The 16,111-nt window shown below is 33.8% G+C and overlaps 2 protein-coding genes across 6 annotated transcripts in view; one reads left to right on the top strand and one right to left on the bottom strand.

The window, feature by feature from the left end:
• Positions 1-16,111, top strand: part of RASA1 (RAS p21 protein activator 1) — a 124,034-nt gene that overhangs the window by 76,871 nt on the left and 31,052 nt on the right. For both annotated transcript variants that reach the window (NM_002890.3, NM_022650.3), the window contains exons 7-9: positions 1,919-1,971; positions 4,461-4,611; positions 8,404-8,482. In NM_002890.3, the coding sequence (NP_002881.1) occupies positions 1,919-1,971; positions 4,461-4,611; positions 8,404-8,482 (283 nt within the window). The remainder of the gene's footprint in view (positions 1-1,918; positions 1,972-4,460; positions 4,612-8,403; positions 8,483-16,111) is intronic.
• CCNH (cyclin H) overlaps positions 1-16,111 on the bottom strand; it is a 101,460-nt gene that overhangs the window by 33,283 nt on the left and 52,066 nt on the right. The window lies entirely within an intron of this gene.

Here is a 16,111-nt window from a genome sequence, read left to right on the forward strand (position 1 = left end):
AGTGATCCTCCCACCTTGGCCTTCCAAAGTGTTGGGATTACAGGTGTGAGCCATTGCTCCTAGCTATTTTTCTTTATACCTTTGCTCAAGCTGCTTCCTAGGCCAGAATTCTTCCATTCATACTTAGCTCATTCATCACTTCCCCCTAGAAAATCTTCCTTTATTTTCCTCTCTACACACTCAACAGTATTGGTACCCTTCTCTGTTACTCCCAAAATGCCTTTGGCAATACCTATCACTGTGCTTATTATAGTTTCTACATTGTTTCTATAGTTAGGGTCTCACTATGTTGCCAGGCTGGTCTTGGACTCTTGGGCTCAAGAGATCCTCCTGCCTTGGCCTCCGAAAGTACTGGGATTACAGGTGTGATCCCAGTTCCCACGCCTGGCCTAGGAGTAGGAACTTTATAAGAGCAGGGACTCATCTTTTTATCACTGTTGCAAACCATGTGGTTGAAATATATAAATTTTATATGGGAATAAATGTCTGAAAAATGAAACGAAAACTCTTTAGAAAGAGATATTGCCACTTTGGCTTCAGACTGTGTGCTTATGCTAAATAATCTTGTTCATCTGTAAACCCTATCACTTTTTTACCCTTCTTTTTTTGAATTTTTTTCAAACTGTAGAAGTAGAGGATTAGCCTTGGAGGTCAGGTCATGTAGTTGACTGTCCTCCAGAATATAAAAATCCTGCTCTAGCATTTGTAGTAAGTGGTCATTTAGCCTATACTTGAATGCAGTATAGAACCTCACTACTTGTAGTCTGAACTGTTTTAGTTGTTGTATTCTTGCTTTATATTATTCAAAATTTACACAGGGAGCACCAGGAGATCTGAATCAGTGAGTTAATGCTTGGAATGGTGTTAAAGAAAAGTTTACCTTTTCATTCATGTGAAAATTTAAAAATTCAGTTATATTTTCATACTTCACCAGTAATAATTGTATGGATCATTTAAAACAATGTGAATGACCTCTGAACCTGTCACACTGGACTTTTGAGCACTTATATATTTTAGTCGTATATTTACTTTCTAGCTTGCTCTTTATTATTAAAAATACTTGTAGACCCTAAGAAGATCCCACAAAGTAGTAGATAGGTGATCGGGAATTGTCAGCCTGGCATTAAGATGTGTTAATCAGCAAGATAGATAATAGGCCTTTAGGTAAATAAGAGGTGATTTTATGTACTTTGATGACTAGTAATTACTTTTTAAATCAGATATATCCTTTTATTTGAAGGTAAAATTTAAATACTTAGGTTATTGTATGCTCTATGTCTTGACTATGATGCCTTTTATAATAATTTCTAAAGGCTTAATTTAAGAATACAGAATATAAAATACATAGCAACCTAGTTTGATAGGCTGTTAGCTCAAATAGAGTTGAGAACACTAAGTCCTTCTTTTCTTTCAGTTCTTGATGGTGCTATCCACTCATTCTTATCACCCAATCTTATATTCTGACTTTCAGCAAAGTAAGAGTCAATATCTTGATTTTATTTGAGGAGAGAATTTATCAGATGTTATAGGAAAATTCAGAAATGAATTCATTAATTTTTTCAGGGAAGTTCTGGAGTAGGCTCTATCTGTACTACTCCTCCTTCCCCTTACCCCACAAAAAGAAAAAAAAGACCTATAACAGTCTGTTATTATCAGGATTAAAAATTGTTGCCATTTTTGTATTGGTAATGAAAATTGTAGTTTATATTTGATAGTTTCTAGTTTTACTATCTTTAGTTGAAATTAAGTATAATATGTATATAAAATGTATTAAAATGTAATAAGAATGAGATGATTTGATTAATTGCATTTATTTTATCACTTTGAATTAAACTTACTATATTGGTTGTTTAATTTTGATCATATGATAACAGCAAAAAGGACTTTATTTATATATCTAATTTATTCTCTTTTTAAGATGGTTCCATGGGAAGATTTCCAAACAGGAAGCTTATAATTTACTAATGACAGGTACTTACATATTTACTTGCTTTTCTAATGTCTATTTAAAGAGAATAAAAAAGTGAACAAACCATTTATCATGTGTTTTGCCTTTAGCATTCAGTTAGTGTTTATGCATGTTATAATTTCGTGTCCAGTACTAAGAAGCTGGTGTTTTTATTTATATTTTAAACATACATGTGTTATAAAATTTAGTCAAGTGTGTTTTTCTTTTACCCCAGGCCCCTGTCCACTTCCTCAGAAGTAACACTAGGTGACAGTTTTTTTTCCCATATGTTTCTAGAAGTTTTCTGTGTCTCTGTGAATCTTTCTCACCCCTACACATACACAGACAGGAACATGCAACACACTTTTTTCATGTTAGATATATATTGGGAGATGATTCTGTATCTGCAGATAAAAACTTTCATTACTCTCTTTTATGGATTTAAACTTTTCATTATATAAATACCATAATTAACTAGTCTTCAGTAGAACGATATTGTATTGTTTTTATTCTTTTGCTGTTCAGCTACAGCAGACATTCTTGTATTTATCTTTGTATACTTGTGGAATTATATGATTGAGCTTTATTTAGTATGTATTAATTTTAACATTTCCCAAAACTGTTATGCTTATAAATACAAAGTAAAAATTGACTTGTATTGTGGTTTTAACCATCCTGTCATTGTTTATTCTTACTAAATATTTAAGGCTGAATTAATTTAAATACCGAGCATTTCTTTGGCAAACCACATCTTATAAAGATTTCAGACAAGTTTAAGCTTTAGTATGTAATTTAAAAGTTTCAGTTCTTCAAAAATGTTGACTATTCAATAGTTTCTATATTTGGTGAAATAGATTCTTGTGGTGATAACCCTAATTATAGAGGTAATCTGAATTGTTTTAATCCATAAAGCACTGCATTTTAAATTAATACTTTATTCTTTTGAAAGATTTGAGATAGTTTTTGAAGTACTCAATTTTATTGTGAAGCTGTAGGTTAAGTAGGTTCAAAAAATAAGTTAAAAAAGATTATGATAATGCTATATGATAGTAATAGAGAAGAAATTTTAAACTAAAATGACATTCTGTCAGCTATTTCAGTGTGGAACCAAAAATATGTAGTTTAGTGAATTTATTGAATTTTGGATATGTTTCTTTTTTGGAACTTGTACCACCAAGTACTTGAGGTACTTTTGTTTTAAGTCATACAAGGTTGAAAAGGAGCTAAACTTAATTTCCTTAATACATTAGTTTGCATTTTCTTTGTGTCATGTGCTCTTTTGAGGATCTGGTGGGATTTTCTCTCCTGAGAAGTACAAATAAGCACTTGCATGCACAGTCTTGCATGAAATTCCTATCATATTCTAGAAGAAATTTAGAGAGTATCTTGGATTCTTGTCAGTAAGATTTGTTGTATCAACTTAGAAACACTTTCATTTTAGCCCATATTATACAATCAATTTCTGTAATTTTTATGTTTACTTATGTATTAAGCCTTGAAGATTCAGTTTAAGGAGATTTATTTTTTTCTTTTTACTGAACATGAAGTTACTTCATAAGTGCCTTGATTGGATGATTGGAACTATTAGTAATTTACCCCTCAAATTATATCTAATAATCTAAGCATTCATTGTGCTTTCCTAAAAACAATCAAGTCCTGATCTTTTCTGGATCATTTGAACTTAAATGGAGAAAAGGCAGAGCATCTATGTATTATGAGTCACTGCCAATCAAAGATATCAGAAATACTTCTCTAAAATTAATGTCATATTTAATATATGATAATTTGCTTCTATAATTCCTTTCAGGAGCATACCTATTGAATAAAATATAGTGTATGTGTATTGATTTTTGATAATGTATACACATATTTCAGTTGTTTTGAATCTACCTTTATAAAAAGCTTTTGGTACTATTTTATTACAGTTATTACTTTTTAATTTTTTTTTTTTTAAGATGCAGGATCTTGCTGTGTTGTCCAGGCTGGTATCAAACTCCTGGGCTCAAGTGATCCTCCTGGATAGCTGGGATTATATGCATGTACCACTGTGCCTAGCACAGTCATTACTGTTTAATGATTAATTGAAAACATTGATTAAGCACAGAGTATTCTTAAGCAAACTGGTCTTCACTTTTTAGAATCTTCTTATTACGAAGATTTACATACAGAATTTAGCAGTTTTAGCCAGTATTCCCTAACTATGCTTAGGTTCCTTCCAAATTAGGACAGGTGTAGATATTACTGACCAGAAGTTACTGCTGCAAAATTTCTGCTCTCTATTTTTATGTATTAAAGCTGGTAAGATACACCAGAGAGATAGCAGACAAGCAATGTGGATGGTTGTGAATCATAAACCAGAAAATTTGAAAGAAATTATCTTAAAAAAAAAACAAGTTCCTGGTGAAAATTTACATATGTTTATGACTTTGAATGCACTTTGTAATAATACTACTTAACATCTTTTCTTTTTTATTTGATAATTAGGGAAAAACTAACAGCTTAATTCTTACAGTTGGTCAAGTCTGCAGTTTTCTTGTGAGGCCCTCAGATAATACTCCTGGCGATTATTCACTTTATTTCCGGACCAATGAAAATATTCAGCGATTTAAAATATGTCCAACGCCAAACAATCAGTTTATGATGGGAGGCCGGTATTATAACAGGTAAATCATAATTTTTTAGCTATCTTTTACTTTTCGCAAAAATAGTTGAAATCTTGATAATACAGTATTCAGAGTCAAAATTATATAAAAGTTTCTAACTTCTAAAAATTATAAGACCTTCAATATAATTTCATAGTAGTCATGCCCAAGAATTCTTTAGACAGTGTCAAATATGAATACAAATTAGTAACTTATACTTTGTTTCCTTCCAAAACAATTTTTGTGATTTTAAAAATTAGACATAAGCTGTTTGCAACAAATTTACTAAATCCATGTGTTATCTGTAGGAGGAGCAAAATATCTTAGGAAAAGAAAATATATCAACATTATTTTATCAGTGAGATACTTTAGTAGGAAAAAAAAAGTTTCTAAAGATACCTGAGACTTATTATACAGATGTTATCATGTAACTGAGTTCTTCTCAAGTTGACATTTCTTACATGTGATTGTTGGTTTTTACTTCTCACTTTCAAAGTAAACTCATTGTTTGTCCCAAAACTCAGAATGAATTATAGTTACTTGATTAGGAAAATAAGTTAATAGAAGAAACCATATGATAGAATGTCAGCAATTTTTCAGTCAAATAGAAAATAATCTTCATTTGTGAACGTAAAGGTTTTCCTATAACTAATAACTCTCTATTTCCTATTTCAGAGGCTGGCATAATCTTGTTCTAAAATGCTTATATTTGCCTAGTTTAACCCCTCAGTACCACAGCAGTATTCTCTATCTGAATTAGAATTTGTCAAACTAGACATTTGAGTGAATAGAGATTCTGTAGCTTGTTTATCTGAAAAAAACCAAAAAACAAAAACAAGTTCTTCTAGTTGCTTGCTGGAAGCTCAGTTGACTGTTAAAAGACATCAAATGTAAGATGTGAGTCTAGGCAGCTGTACCCTTTTGCCTACCTCATATACAGGTTGCTTGAGTACTTTATACATGACAATCTGAGTTCTAGATGTCCTCACTGAAAATACAGCTAGCTGCAATTTGAGTTCTTTAAGAATGTAATTTTTCCCAATTCCAGTTTTCTGGAGATTTAGAACATACAAAATAATGCACTGAAAATATATCATCTTCTTAACTGAATAAATGTCCATATTGAGATCCTTTTTAAAGATAAAATAATTTACATGAATTTATTTTTTTGAAGTTCGTTTTGTTACTAACTTAAACTTCCTTATGATACATCACACAAAACTGGAAATTCTTCCTACATACTGGAGGAAGTCGGTAAAACATGTAAAGGTAGTCGCTTTTGGTTGCTGAACACCATGATGGAACATGAAAAAAGAAGTATTTTAAGTAGATTTCTGTCCAAATTATTGCAATATTATGTTTTCAAAATGAGGATTAAAAAAAAAAAGTTAAATGTATGTTAATTTAGTGGCCTTGACCATTCCCCCAGAACTTTGATTTTTATAATTTTTCTTCCCTGTGAATTTGTTTATAAATTCATCTTATTGTTTCTAGTTTTAACATTAAACTTCTTTAAAAAGCCCCAAATTATGTGAATCAGGTGCTGTGAAAATGAAGGATTTTGTAATTGTTTTGGAAATATATATTTCATTTCAGCATTAATGTTAGTAATGTCAGAAATAATTCCTAGGAAGATAAATCTTTGTGCTTATTGTTTATTGTTAGATCTAAATGTATAAAGAAAGATTTTTCAATAAATCTGTCGAACACAGCCATACTCTGCTGTCCCATCTCCCCATTAACTAAACATGAGACCTTGATAAAGAGGGATAGTAGTTATGTCTTTCATTTAGAAACTGTTAAGACATAACTTTAATGTTCCTATATTCAGAGTTTTAAAAAAAAAAAGCAGAAGAGGCATTTAATAGCAAATTTAATTCAGCAGCCATTTATCGACTTATCTACTTTGTGAAATATACTGTACAAATTCTGTGTAAATACATTAAAGAAAAAGATATAGTTTCTTCTTTATTAGTGCTCAGGTTTATTAGAAAAGAAAGTATGGTATGCAGAATGTGATAAATTCAGGGGATATATAAATGCATGGGAATCAATAAATGAGAGTTCAGTGGGGGGTGAGAAGGAAGACAATGGATTTTGGCTAGACCTTGAGGAGACAATATTAACATTTATCTAGACTTGAAGAAGAAGAGTGCACATGGTTTTATGTGCTAAATGCATTACAAAAATTAAAATACAGAACACAGTGTCTCTAGAAACTCACGTTTATTTCAAAAGTAAGTTTACATTGAATATGCTTTAGTTTTCTGAGATGTAAATCTGTCTGATTTCATGGCTGGAACTTATATGAATGTCTAGAAAATTCTGGTTTATCTCCCCTGACTGTTTATTTCGGTGTTTCTGCGTAGAGTATAAATGGAAGAGTAATTTTTAAAAAAACTCTTAAGTCTAGCTCATTGGTAAAAACCTATCTGATTGGTTGCCACACACTTTTAAATTTGCTCCTGGACAATCTGAACTGTACTTCCCCATGGTTTCCTGTTCTCTCAGTTTATGAAAAACAATTATATTGTAACATTGAGGTGCTACAGTGGATTGATTGTATTTTACAGTTACTGAGCCCAAAAACCTTTGATGTTTACTGATTTTCATAGATTTGGTGCTTTTTGCTTTAAAACACATAGTCATCTCTTTAGTGGAATCTAGCTATCTTCAAATATATTTCCTGATTTTCATTTTTCTTTTAACAATTTTGGATTTATATGGTATTAGATTTTTTTATTAAAAACATAAAATCTTGCTTGTTCTTTTAATAATGCTTTTATTTATCTCATTTTCACCACACCCCTCTGTGGCTTGTGTTAAATGCTGCTTCTGGTATTAAGTTCATTCATACACTACTAGTTAACTTTTCAGGTCCTTTTGTTTTGGTTTTTAACATTACTTATATTTGGTTTAAATTAACTTTGTAGTATAGGGAAGATAACATACTTGAAGATACACACACACACACATATATATTCTAATTATATATATATAGAAGGTTAAACAAAATCTGTCTGGAGAAGTGTTTCCTAGGTGGCTCAAAAGTTCCCATTTGTCCAGTATATTAAAGGAAGGTTTAAAATTCCAAGATTTCCATATTCAGGACAATAGAATGATCTTACTGATTATAGAGAAACAACTTTATATTTAAAAAAATACGTGGTTCACTAAAATTTATATTAAAATACAGTATGTCATTTTATTTTTTTGTAATATTTTCCCAATATTTCCCAATTTGTAGCACTTTTAATCAAAATAATAAGCTTTTCTCCCTATAGTGATAATCCTACATGTAAGATTAGCTGGGGGTTTTTTTCTTCTTTTTGCCTGCTTTTCATGTGTTTTATGACCTGTTTCTGATATAAAACCAGTATGTGTAAATGTGATAATAAAAATTCTTAATTTACCTGAACTCTGCTTCCTAAATAAATGCCATGTTTCTGTGAATTCTTCATTCTTAGTATCTCATATATACTCTTGGGGGTGAAAAAAAAGGTAGACTTTTAATCATTTCCTCATTTATGGTGACTCTTTGAATATGGTATTGTTGACCTGGCTGCCCACTTGATGGGTATGGAAAATCAGAATCTGGGCCATGTATTCTGGCCTGTAAATCTATATTGAGAACATTGTTTTTTCTAAAATAATATGAATGTTATGATCATTTATTCTATTAATGTATTTGTGTTATGTGCTTTGAAAAAAATTTGCTAATTAGATAATCCTTGGCAAGAAAGTTTACACATATTTTTAAAGATTTTGCAGTTTTATGAGACAGATTAATACTAGAAATTTTTATTTTAACAGCATTGGGGACATCATAGATCACTATCGAAAAGAACAGATTGTTGAAGGATATTATCTTAAGGAACCTGTACCAATGCAGGTCAGTGTTGCATTTCTTATTGCAATAATTAGCATTTTATTTTAAAATGCATTTTGGTGGTATGTTTTTGCACACATTTGTACAATTCAAATTGGATACAACTTAAAACTACAGATTATTTAGATTTTTTTAGAAAGTCAACTGTAAGAATCTTTTAGTTTTTATCTATGTTGATTTTAGGTAATCAGGAACAACCTAGTGGCTTTTTGAGATTAGAAGCAGTCGTGGAGGAAGGTAAGTTGCAGTAGGTCCAGGAGTGAGTTTTTTGGAGGCAAAAGTAGAGACAGCAGGGATAAACCACAGCCAGGATTATTAAAGCCTGGGGAGTAATAAAAGGAAATAAAAAATACTGATAGAAGAGGATTAGGGCAAAAAATGGTTTACACTTTTTCTTTGTTTATTTGCCTGTAGTTTTACGGTGAGAGGATTTGAGAATGTCTGTATACTCTGAGTGAAAACTGTATAGTAGTAAAGAGGAGAGTGAAGTTGTATGGGGAGATGGGTGGTGGCAATGTCTTACAGACAGGGTCCTAGACAAAAGTGAATAGAATCTAGAACATAAAAGGAAAGATTGGCCTTGAGCAAGAGAGCCTGTTAAATGTTAGTTGCTTAACGCTTAGGGTGATTAGCTTCTGTTTCTTCCTCATTGCACTTTCTGAAGTATATGGTAGGGAAATGGTATAACAGGGGTTAGAAAAAGGTGCTTCAAAAGACGGATTAATAATTTTCCTAAGTGGAAAATGGAGGTACTGTTATTCTAGGGACATAAAGGATTATTAAGGGTTTTGGGTACCCAGCTGCAATTGTACAGTGATTTGTAGTGTGCCTAGTTTCTTGATGTTTCCTCCTAACAAATTCATTTCACATGGCTATAGCTACTACTTATTGCAGTTAATTGGTGGGGGGTGGGGTGGGAGGTGAGGAATCATTAATCTGAAGCTAAAGATAAATTCAAGAATCATAATCTTGTCACATTTTAACATACAGGCACACTTCATTTTATTGTGCATTGCCTTATTATGTTTCAAAGATAGTTTTTTTTACAAATTGAAGGTTTGTGGCAAGAAGGACGTCTATTGCGACTGTTTTTCCAAAGCAGGTGCTCATTTGTGTCTTAGTGTCACATTTTGGTAATTCTTAAAATGTTTCAAACTTTTTCACTATTATATGTTATGTTGATCTGTGATCAGTGATCTTTAATGTTACTATTGCAATTGTTTTGGGGTGCCATGAACTGCATCTGAAGAAGACTGCAAGCTTAATCGATAAATGTAGTGTATGTTCTGACTGCTTCATTGACTGGCTGGTTCTGTTTCTCTTCCTCTCCTTGGGGCTTCCTATTTCTGCAGACACAACACTATTAAAATTGGGCCAATTAATAACCCTACAGTGGCCTCTAAATGGTCAAGTGAAAGGAAAAGTCACATGTCTCTCACATTAAGTCAAAAGCTAGAAATGATTAAGCTTAGGGAGGCATGGTGAAAGCCAAAATAGGCTGAAAGCTAGGTCTCTTGCACCAAACAGCAAAGTTGTGAATGCAAAGGAAGAGTTGTTGAAGGAAATTGAAAGTGCTACTCCATTGAACACATGAATGATTAATAAAGTGAAACACCCTTATTGCTGATATAGAGAAAATTTGAGTGGTCTGGATTGAAGATTAAACCAGGGATAACATTCCCTTAAGCCAAAGCCTATCCAAAGCAAGGCCCTAACTCTCTTCTATTCTGTGAAGGCTGATAGAGGTGAGGAAGCTCCAGAAGAAAAGTTGGAAGCTACCAGAGATTGATTCATAAGATTTAAGGAAAGATGCTATCTCCATAACATAAAAGTGTACGGTGAAGCAAAGAAACTGTAGCAAGTTACCCAGAACATCTAGCTAGTTTTCCAGAAGATAACTAGCAAGTTATCCAGAAGATAAGTATTGAAGGTGCTAAACAACAGATTTTCAGTGTAAAGAAAACATCCTTCTATCTGAAAATATTATCTAGGACTTTCATGGCAAGAGTTAATGCTTGGCTTCGAAGCTTCAAAGGTCAGGCTGACTGACTCTTTTCAGGGGCTAATGCAGCTGGTGACTTTAGGTTGAAACCAATTATCGTTGACTATTCTGAAAATCCTAGGAGCATCAGAATTATGCCAAATCTACTGTGCCTGTGCTCTGTCAATGGAACTACAAAGCCTGCATGATAGCCCATCTGTTTACAGCATGGTTTACTGAATATTTTAAGGCCACTGTTGAAACCTACTGCTCAGAACAAACAATTCCTTTGAAAATGTTACTGATCACTGACAATGCACCTCTACAATCAAGAGCTCAGATAGAGATGTACAAGGAGATTGTTGTTTTCATGCCAGCTAACACAGCTTATATTCTGCAGCCCATGGATCAAGGAGTAATTTTGACTTTCAAATCCTTAGTTAAGAAATAATTTCATAATGTTATGTTTGCAAAAAATAGTGACTTATGGATCTGGGCAAGGTACATTGAAAACCCTTTGGAAAGGATTTATCATTCTAGAGGCCATTAAGAACATTTGTGATTCATGGGCAGAGGCCAAAATAACAACATTAACAGAAGTTTGGAAGAAGCTGATTCCAACTCTTTTGGATAACTTTGAGGGGCTCAAGACTACAAGATGACTTTGAGGAGGAGGTAGCTGCAGATGTGGTACAAGTAGCAGGAGAACTAAATTTGGAAGTGGAGCTTGAAGATGTGACTGAATTACTCCACTTTTGTGATGAAACTGGAGCGAAAGAGGAGTTGCTTGTTACGGATGAGAAAAGAAAGTGGTCTCTTGAGATAGAATCTACTCCTGTGAAGATCCTGTGATCGCTACTGAAATGAAAACAAATAATTTAGAATATTCTATAAACTTAACTTGATAAAGCAGCAAGAGGGTTTGGGAGGAATGCTTCCAGTTTTGAAAGAAGTTCAACTGTGGGTAAAATGGTATCAAACAGCATTATAGGGAATTTCTTTTGTGAAAGAAGAGTCAATTGATGCAGCAGACTTCATTTTTAAGAAATTGCCACAACCACCCCAACCTTTGGCAACCACTGCCCTAATCACTTAGCAGACATCAGTATCAAGGCAAGACCCTTCACCAGCGTAAAGATTATGACTCACTGACGTCCTAGATGATTGTTATTTTTTTTTTTTTTTCTCCCTCCGGAGTCAGGGTCTTGCGCTGTGGCTGAGGCTGGAGTACAGTGGTTCAACTGTAGCTCACTGCAACCTTGAGCTCCTGGGCTCAAGCAATCCTCCTGCCTCAGGCTCCCCAGTAGCTAGGACTGCAGGTGTACACCACCGTGCCTAGCTAATATTTTTTGTAGAGATAGAGTCTTGCTCTGTTGCCCAGGCTAGTCTTGAATTCCAAGGCAGAAGCCTTGGTCTCCCAAAATGCTGGGATTACAGTTGTGAGCCACTTTGGTTGCCCCAACAGTTTTTAGTAATAAAATATTTTTAAATTAACACGTGTACATTGTTAGACATAATGCTATTACACACTTAGTAGACTACAGTATAGTTGTAAACATAACTTATACGTGCACTGCGAAACCAAAAAATTCATATGGCTGGCTTTATTGTGGTGGTCTGGAGCCAAATCTGAAATACCTCCAAGGTATGCCTATATTTTCCTTCATTCCCGCATGCTTTCCTAGTAGAATTTAAGGTCTATGAGAACAGAGATTTTTGTTTGCATTGTTTTTTCCCAGTGCTTAGAACAGTACCTGACATTAGATATTCAATAAATATTGATTGAATGAATGATTCTCTGCTTTCCAGCAAGAAATACCTACTTTACCCTTGCCTGTATTGTTACTAAGGTCTTACACTTTAATGTGCTCCTTCCTATCACCATGTCAGTCTTCCTCTCTGCCTATCTAAATACTATTTTAACATCCATCTTGTTTCACTTTTTGAGTAATTTTTTTTTTATTACCGCAGAGTAATTGGAAGAGAAGTTAGCCAGAACATATAACATACACACACATATATAAATATATATATGTTTTATATATGTGTATTTTTTAAATAACATGGGTGAGTGCTTTTTAGACCATGGCTAGGATCTTTTTTCAGGATCAGAGGTGCCTTTGCCTCCAGATGACGGATCCTGCCATATAGTTCCATTGCTGTATCCTCAATTCTAATTCCCCTTGGCTCTTTGAGTTAGTGATTTTAATTTTATTTGACCCCAAATTAAATCATACATTTCCCCATACTGAATTTGTACTTAGAATTTTCTAATTTAAGTTTTGATCAAGACCATCCTGGCTAACACGGTGAAACCCTGTCTCTACTAAAAATACAAAAAATTAGCTGGGTGTGGTGACATGCCCCTGTAGTCCCAGCTACTCTGGAGGCTGAGGCAGGAGAATCGCTTGAACCTGGGAGGTGGAGGTTGCAGTGAGCCGAGATTGCACCACTGCACTCCAGACTGGGAGACAGAACGAGATTCCATCTCAAAAAAAAAGAAAAACAAATAGTATGTGGCATCTAATAAACTTGCAGTATGTGTTATAAGACTGCTTTAAGAATTACTTGAGATATGTAATGTGCCTTGCTCTTGTGTTAGTTTTATAACTGAACAAACCTCCAATTGGTTTTGCAGAAGTGCCTATAATGCTTTGAATACTTCAGAAATAATTGATGCTGATTATAAAGCAATTTGATTGATTGCTACACAGAAACTATTAAGTGCTATTTGTAGTCTATTATTTTGGAGCATGGGGTGATGAAAAGTTGGTTTTAGTAGAAGTTTGGGGAATAATAAAACTCACTCATTCTTCAAGCAGGGTTTTAACTATTAGTACAAAAGCAATACTATCTTTTTACTAATCGCCAAATTGATTAGTTAGCAAATCACCTCATCTTCCAATGAGGTGACCCTGTGTACCCACACTCAGGCTAAGATGCTGGCAAAGGCTAAGAAACAGCAGAGTCCTAGCTAGCTTTGCTTACTTCCTGGAACTGTTAACACTTTTTGAGGCAAGCATTAGACAAAAAGGGTCCTTTTGAGACAATATACCCCATAATAAAAATGCCTTACATTTTTGAGCACTATATTTTAAGCACTGTTTTTTATACATATTCATTCATTTAATTTTCTCAACAACTTTACCAAGGTGACACTACAATGATGCCTATTTCAAAGATAAGGCAACTGAGAGCTGAGAGGTTAATAACTTAAATCATCCTCAATTCTTCTCTTTTTTTCTTCCTGTACTTTATATCTAACCTGTCAGGAAGATCATACTGACTCTGTCTTCAAAGTATGTCTAGAATATGACCACCACCAGAATCTGCCTTCATCTCCTAGTTTCTAGCTTTGTCCCCTTATGCTGCATGCTGCGCAGCAGTCACTGGGATCCATTTAAAATGTCAGATCGTGTTACTCCTCTGTTTTAATACTTGAAAATGTTCTCCATTTCTTTCAGAATAAAAGCCAAAGTCCTTAGAATGGCATACAAGACCCAACAGTGGCAGTCCATTAATTTTCTGAACTCGTCTCTTCCTACTATCCTCCTGCCACTCTTTTTCACTCATACTTGCTTCTGTATTATTATTTGTAAATAAGCCAGACTCTTTCCTTCCTTAGGATCTTTGCTGTAGCTGTTCACTGTGTCCAAAATTGTTTTCTCTTGGATATCCACTAGCCTCACTCTTACATCTTTCAAGTTTTTGCTCAAAATTTAGCAAATTAGCAAATGACACTTTACCTAGACACCTTAATTAACACTGCAACTTGCTCAACCCTGCGGAGCACTTACCTTCTAACATGTAGTACAATTTATTTATTTATGTTTATTTTTAATCTTTCCCTGGTTAGAATACAAGTTCCATGAGGATAGGGGTCTTTGATTTGTTCACTGATGTATCTCAAGAACTACAACAGTGCCTGAGACTCAACATTTATTGAATTAATATATTAAATGGCGTTTTCCTACATTAAGTGACAAAGCTAGGATCTGCAAGTTAAGTCTGTCTTCAGGAGCTTACACATGTAACTTCTAGGGAAGAGCTTGGTTCAATGGCTGTTAGACTCTAACCAATCAGATTACTGAATTTCCCTTGGGAGGAATGTAAAAAATCTAAGAACTATCTCTCAGGCTGAGAAAAGGAACACGTAGAGAAGCCTTTCTCCTCTCATTGACTAGGACTTGAAAAGTGATGTTGTGTTTTTGCCCATAGCATCTTCTAGTGTATTGGAATCTTTTAGGATTTGTGGGCTAGTCCCCACTTTAATATGATTTTTAAAAGATCTATATAGATTCCAAGATCTATATAAAATCTTGGAATCAAGTATTTAAATCCAAATATTAGTGTGGTTACATGTCTTAAATGACAGACTCCAAGAATGTTCCATTCTGCAGCTAATACTAAGTGCCATCACCATTGAACTAAAGATTTGATAAATACAAATCTGTATTACCAGGAAAGTAAAGTCATCACTATTTGTAACATCATGGTCCAGTGTACCCTTTTAATTTTTTTATATTCCTAAGTCATTTTACAAATAATTCGCATCACCAAGATTAAGGGTATAATCCAAAAACAACTTCATTGGAAAATGTAGTAAGAATTTAAATGTAGCGTACCCAAATTTTTGTTCCATGTTTTCATGTCTAGAAAGGTTTACGTACCTGAAATGGACAGTCTTTTCAATGCAACTAACAGTTCTTCACCCTTCGTGCACAGACCTGGAACACAGCCATCTTGTAAACTCTGATTCCAGATTTGAAATCAGATACTTGTCTAATAAGTTCTATTTGTAATTACTTTGGTTCTTCTTGCATTGTATCTATCATATCAATTCCAGATTTTAAGTACATCACTACTGGAATCTAGCTTATTCTTTCTTGTTTTTGTATTATCAAAATGCAGTTTTTTTTTTTTTTTTTGAGATGGAATTTCGCTCTTTTTTGCTCAGGCTTGGAGTGGAATGGCATGATCTCAGCTCACTGCAACCTCCGCCTCCTGGGTTCAAGCGATTCTCCTCCCTCAGCCTCCCATGTAGCTGGAATTACAGGCACGCGCCACCACGCCCAGCTAATTTCATATTTTTAGTAGAGACAGGGTTTCACCATGTCGGCCAGGCTGGGCGAACTCCTGACTTCAGATGATGTGCCCGCCTCGGCCTCCTAAAGTACTGGGATTAAAGGCGTGAGCAAAATGCAGTACTTTTGAAAACTCTGATGGCTCATAATTTTGTTGGAGAGTACAGTGTCCATTGCTCCATAATTGTAAAATATTTTTGTTTAGATTTTAAAACACCAGTTAACATTGATGTTTATAAGAGTGATCAATCCAGTGAATTTTACAATTTCTATATGTTTACTTTCAGTAATTTTTTATACAAAGGCCCTTTAATATTTGCCCATTCACAAATCATATTAAGTAAATTTTGATGTACATACAAAAATTTAGTCTCATTTCTTTTTAGCAAAACAGGATAATAGAAGTAATATGGTTCACTCAGTGATTGAGTTTGAGAAAATTCAAGTATATCATCATCTGAAAAATCACAGTCTGAGGTTTATCAAAATCAATTCTGCCATCATGATAAGAGTCTAGAGTGCTGCTGTTTCTTTGCATTCGTTTTCTGATTTTTCTAATTGTCAAAC

The sequence above is a fragment of the Homo sapiens genome, chromosome 5 (assembly GCF_000001405.40).
Source record: "Homo sapiens chromosome 5, GRCh38.p14 Primary Assembly".
In the NCBI taxonomy this organism is placed as follows: domain Eukaryota; kingdom Metazoa; phylum Chordata; class Mammalia; order Primates; family Hominidae; genus Homo; species Homo sapiens.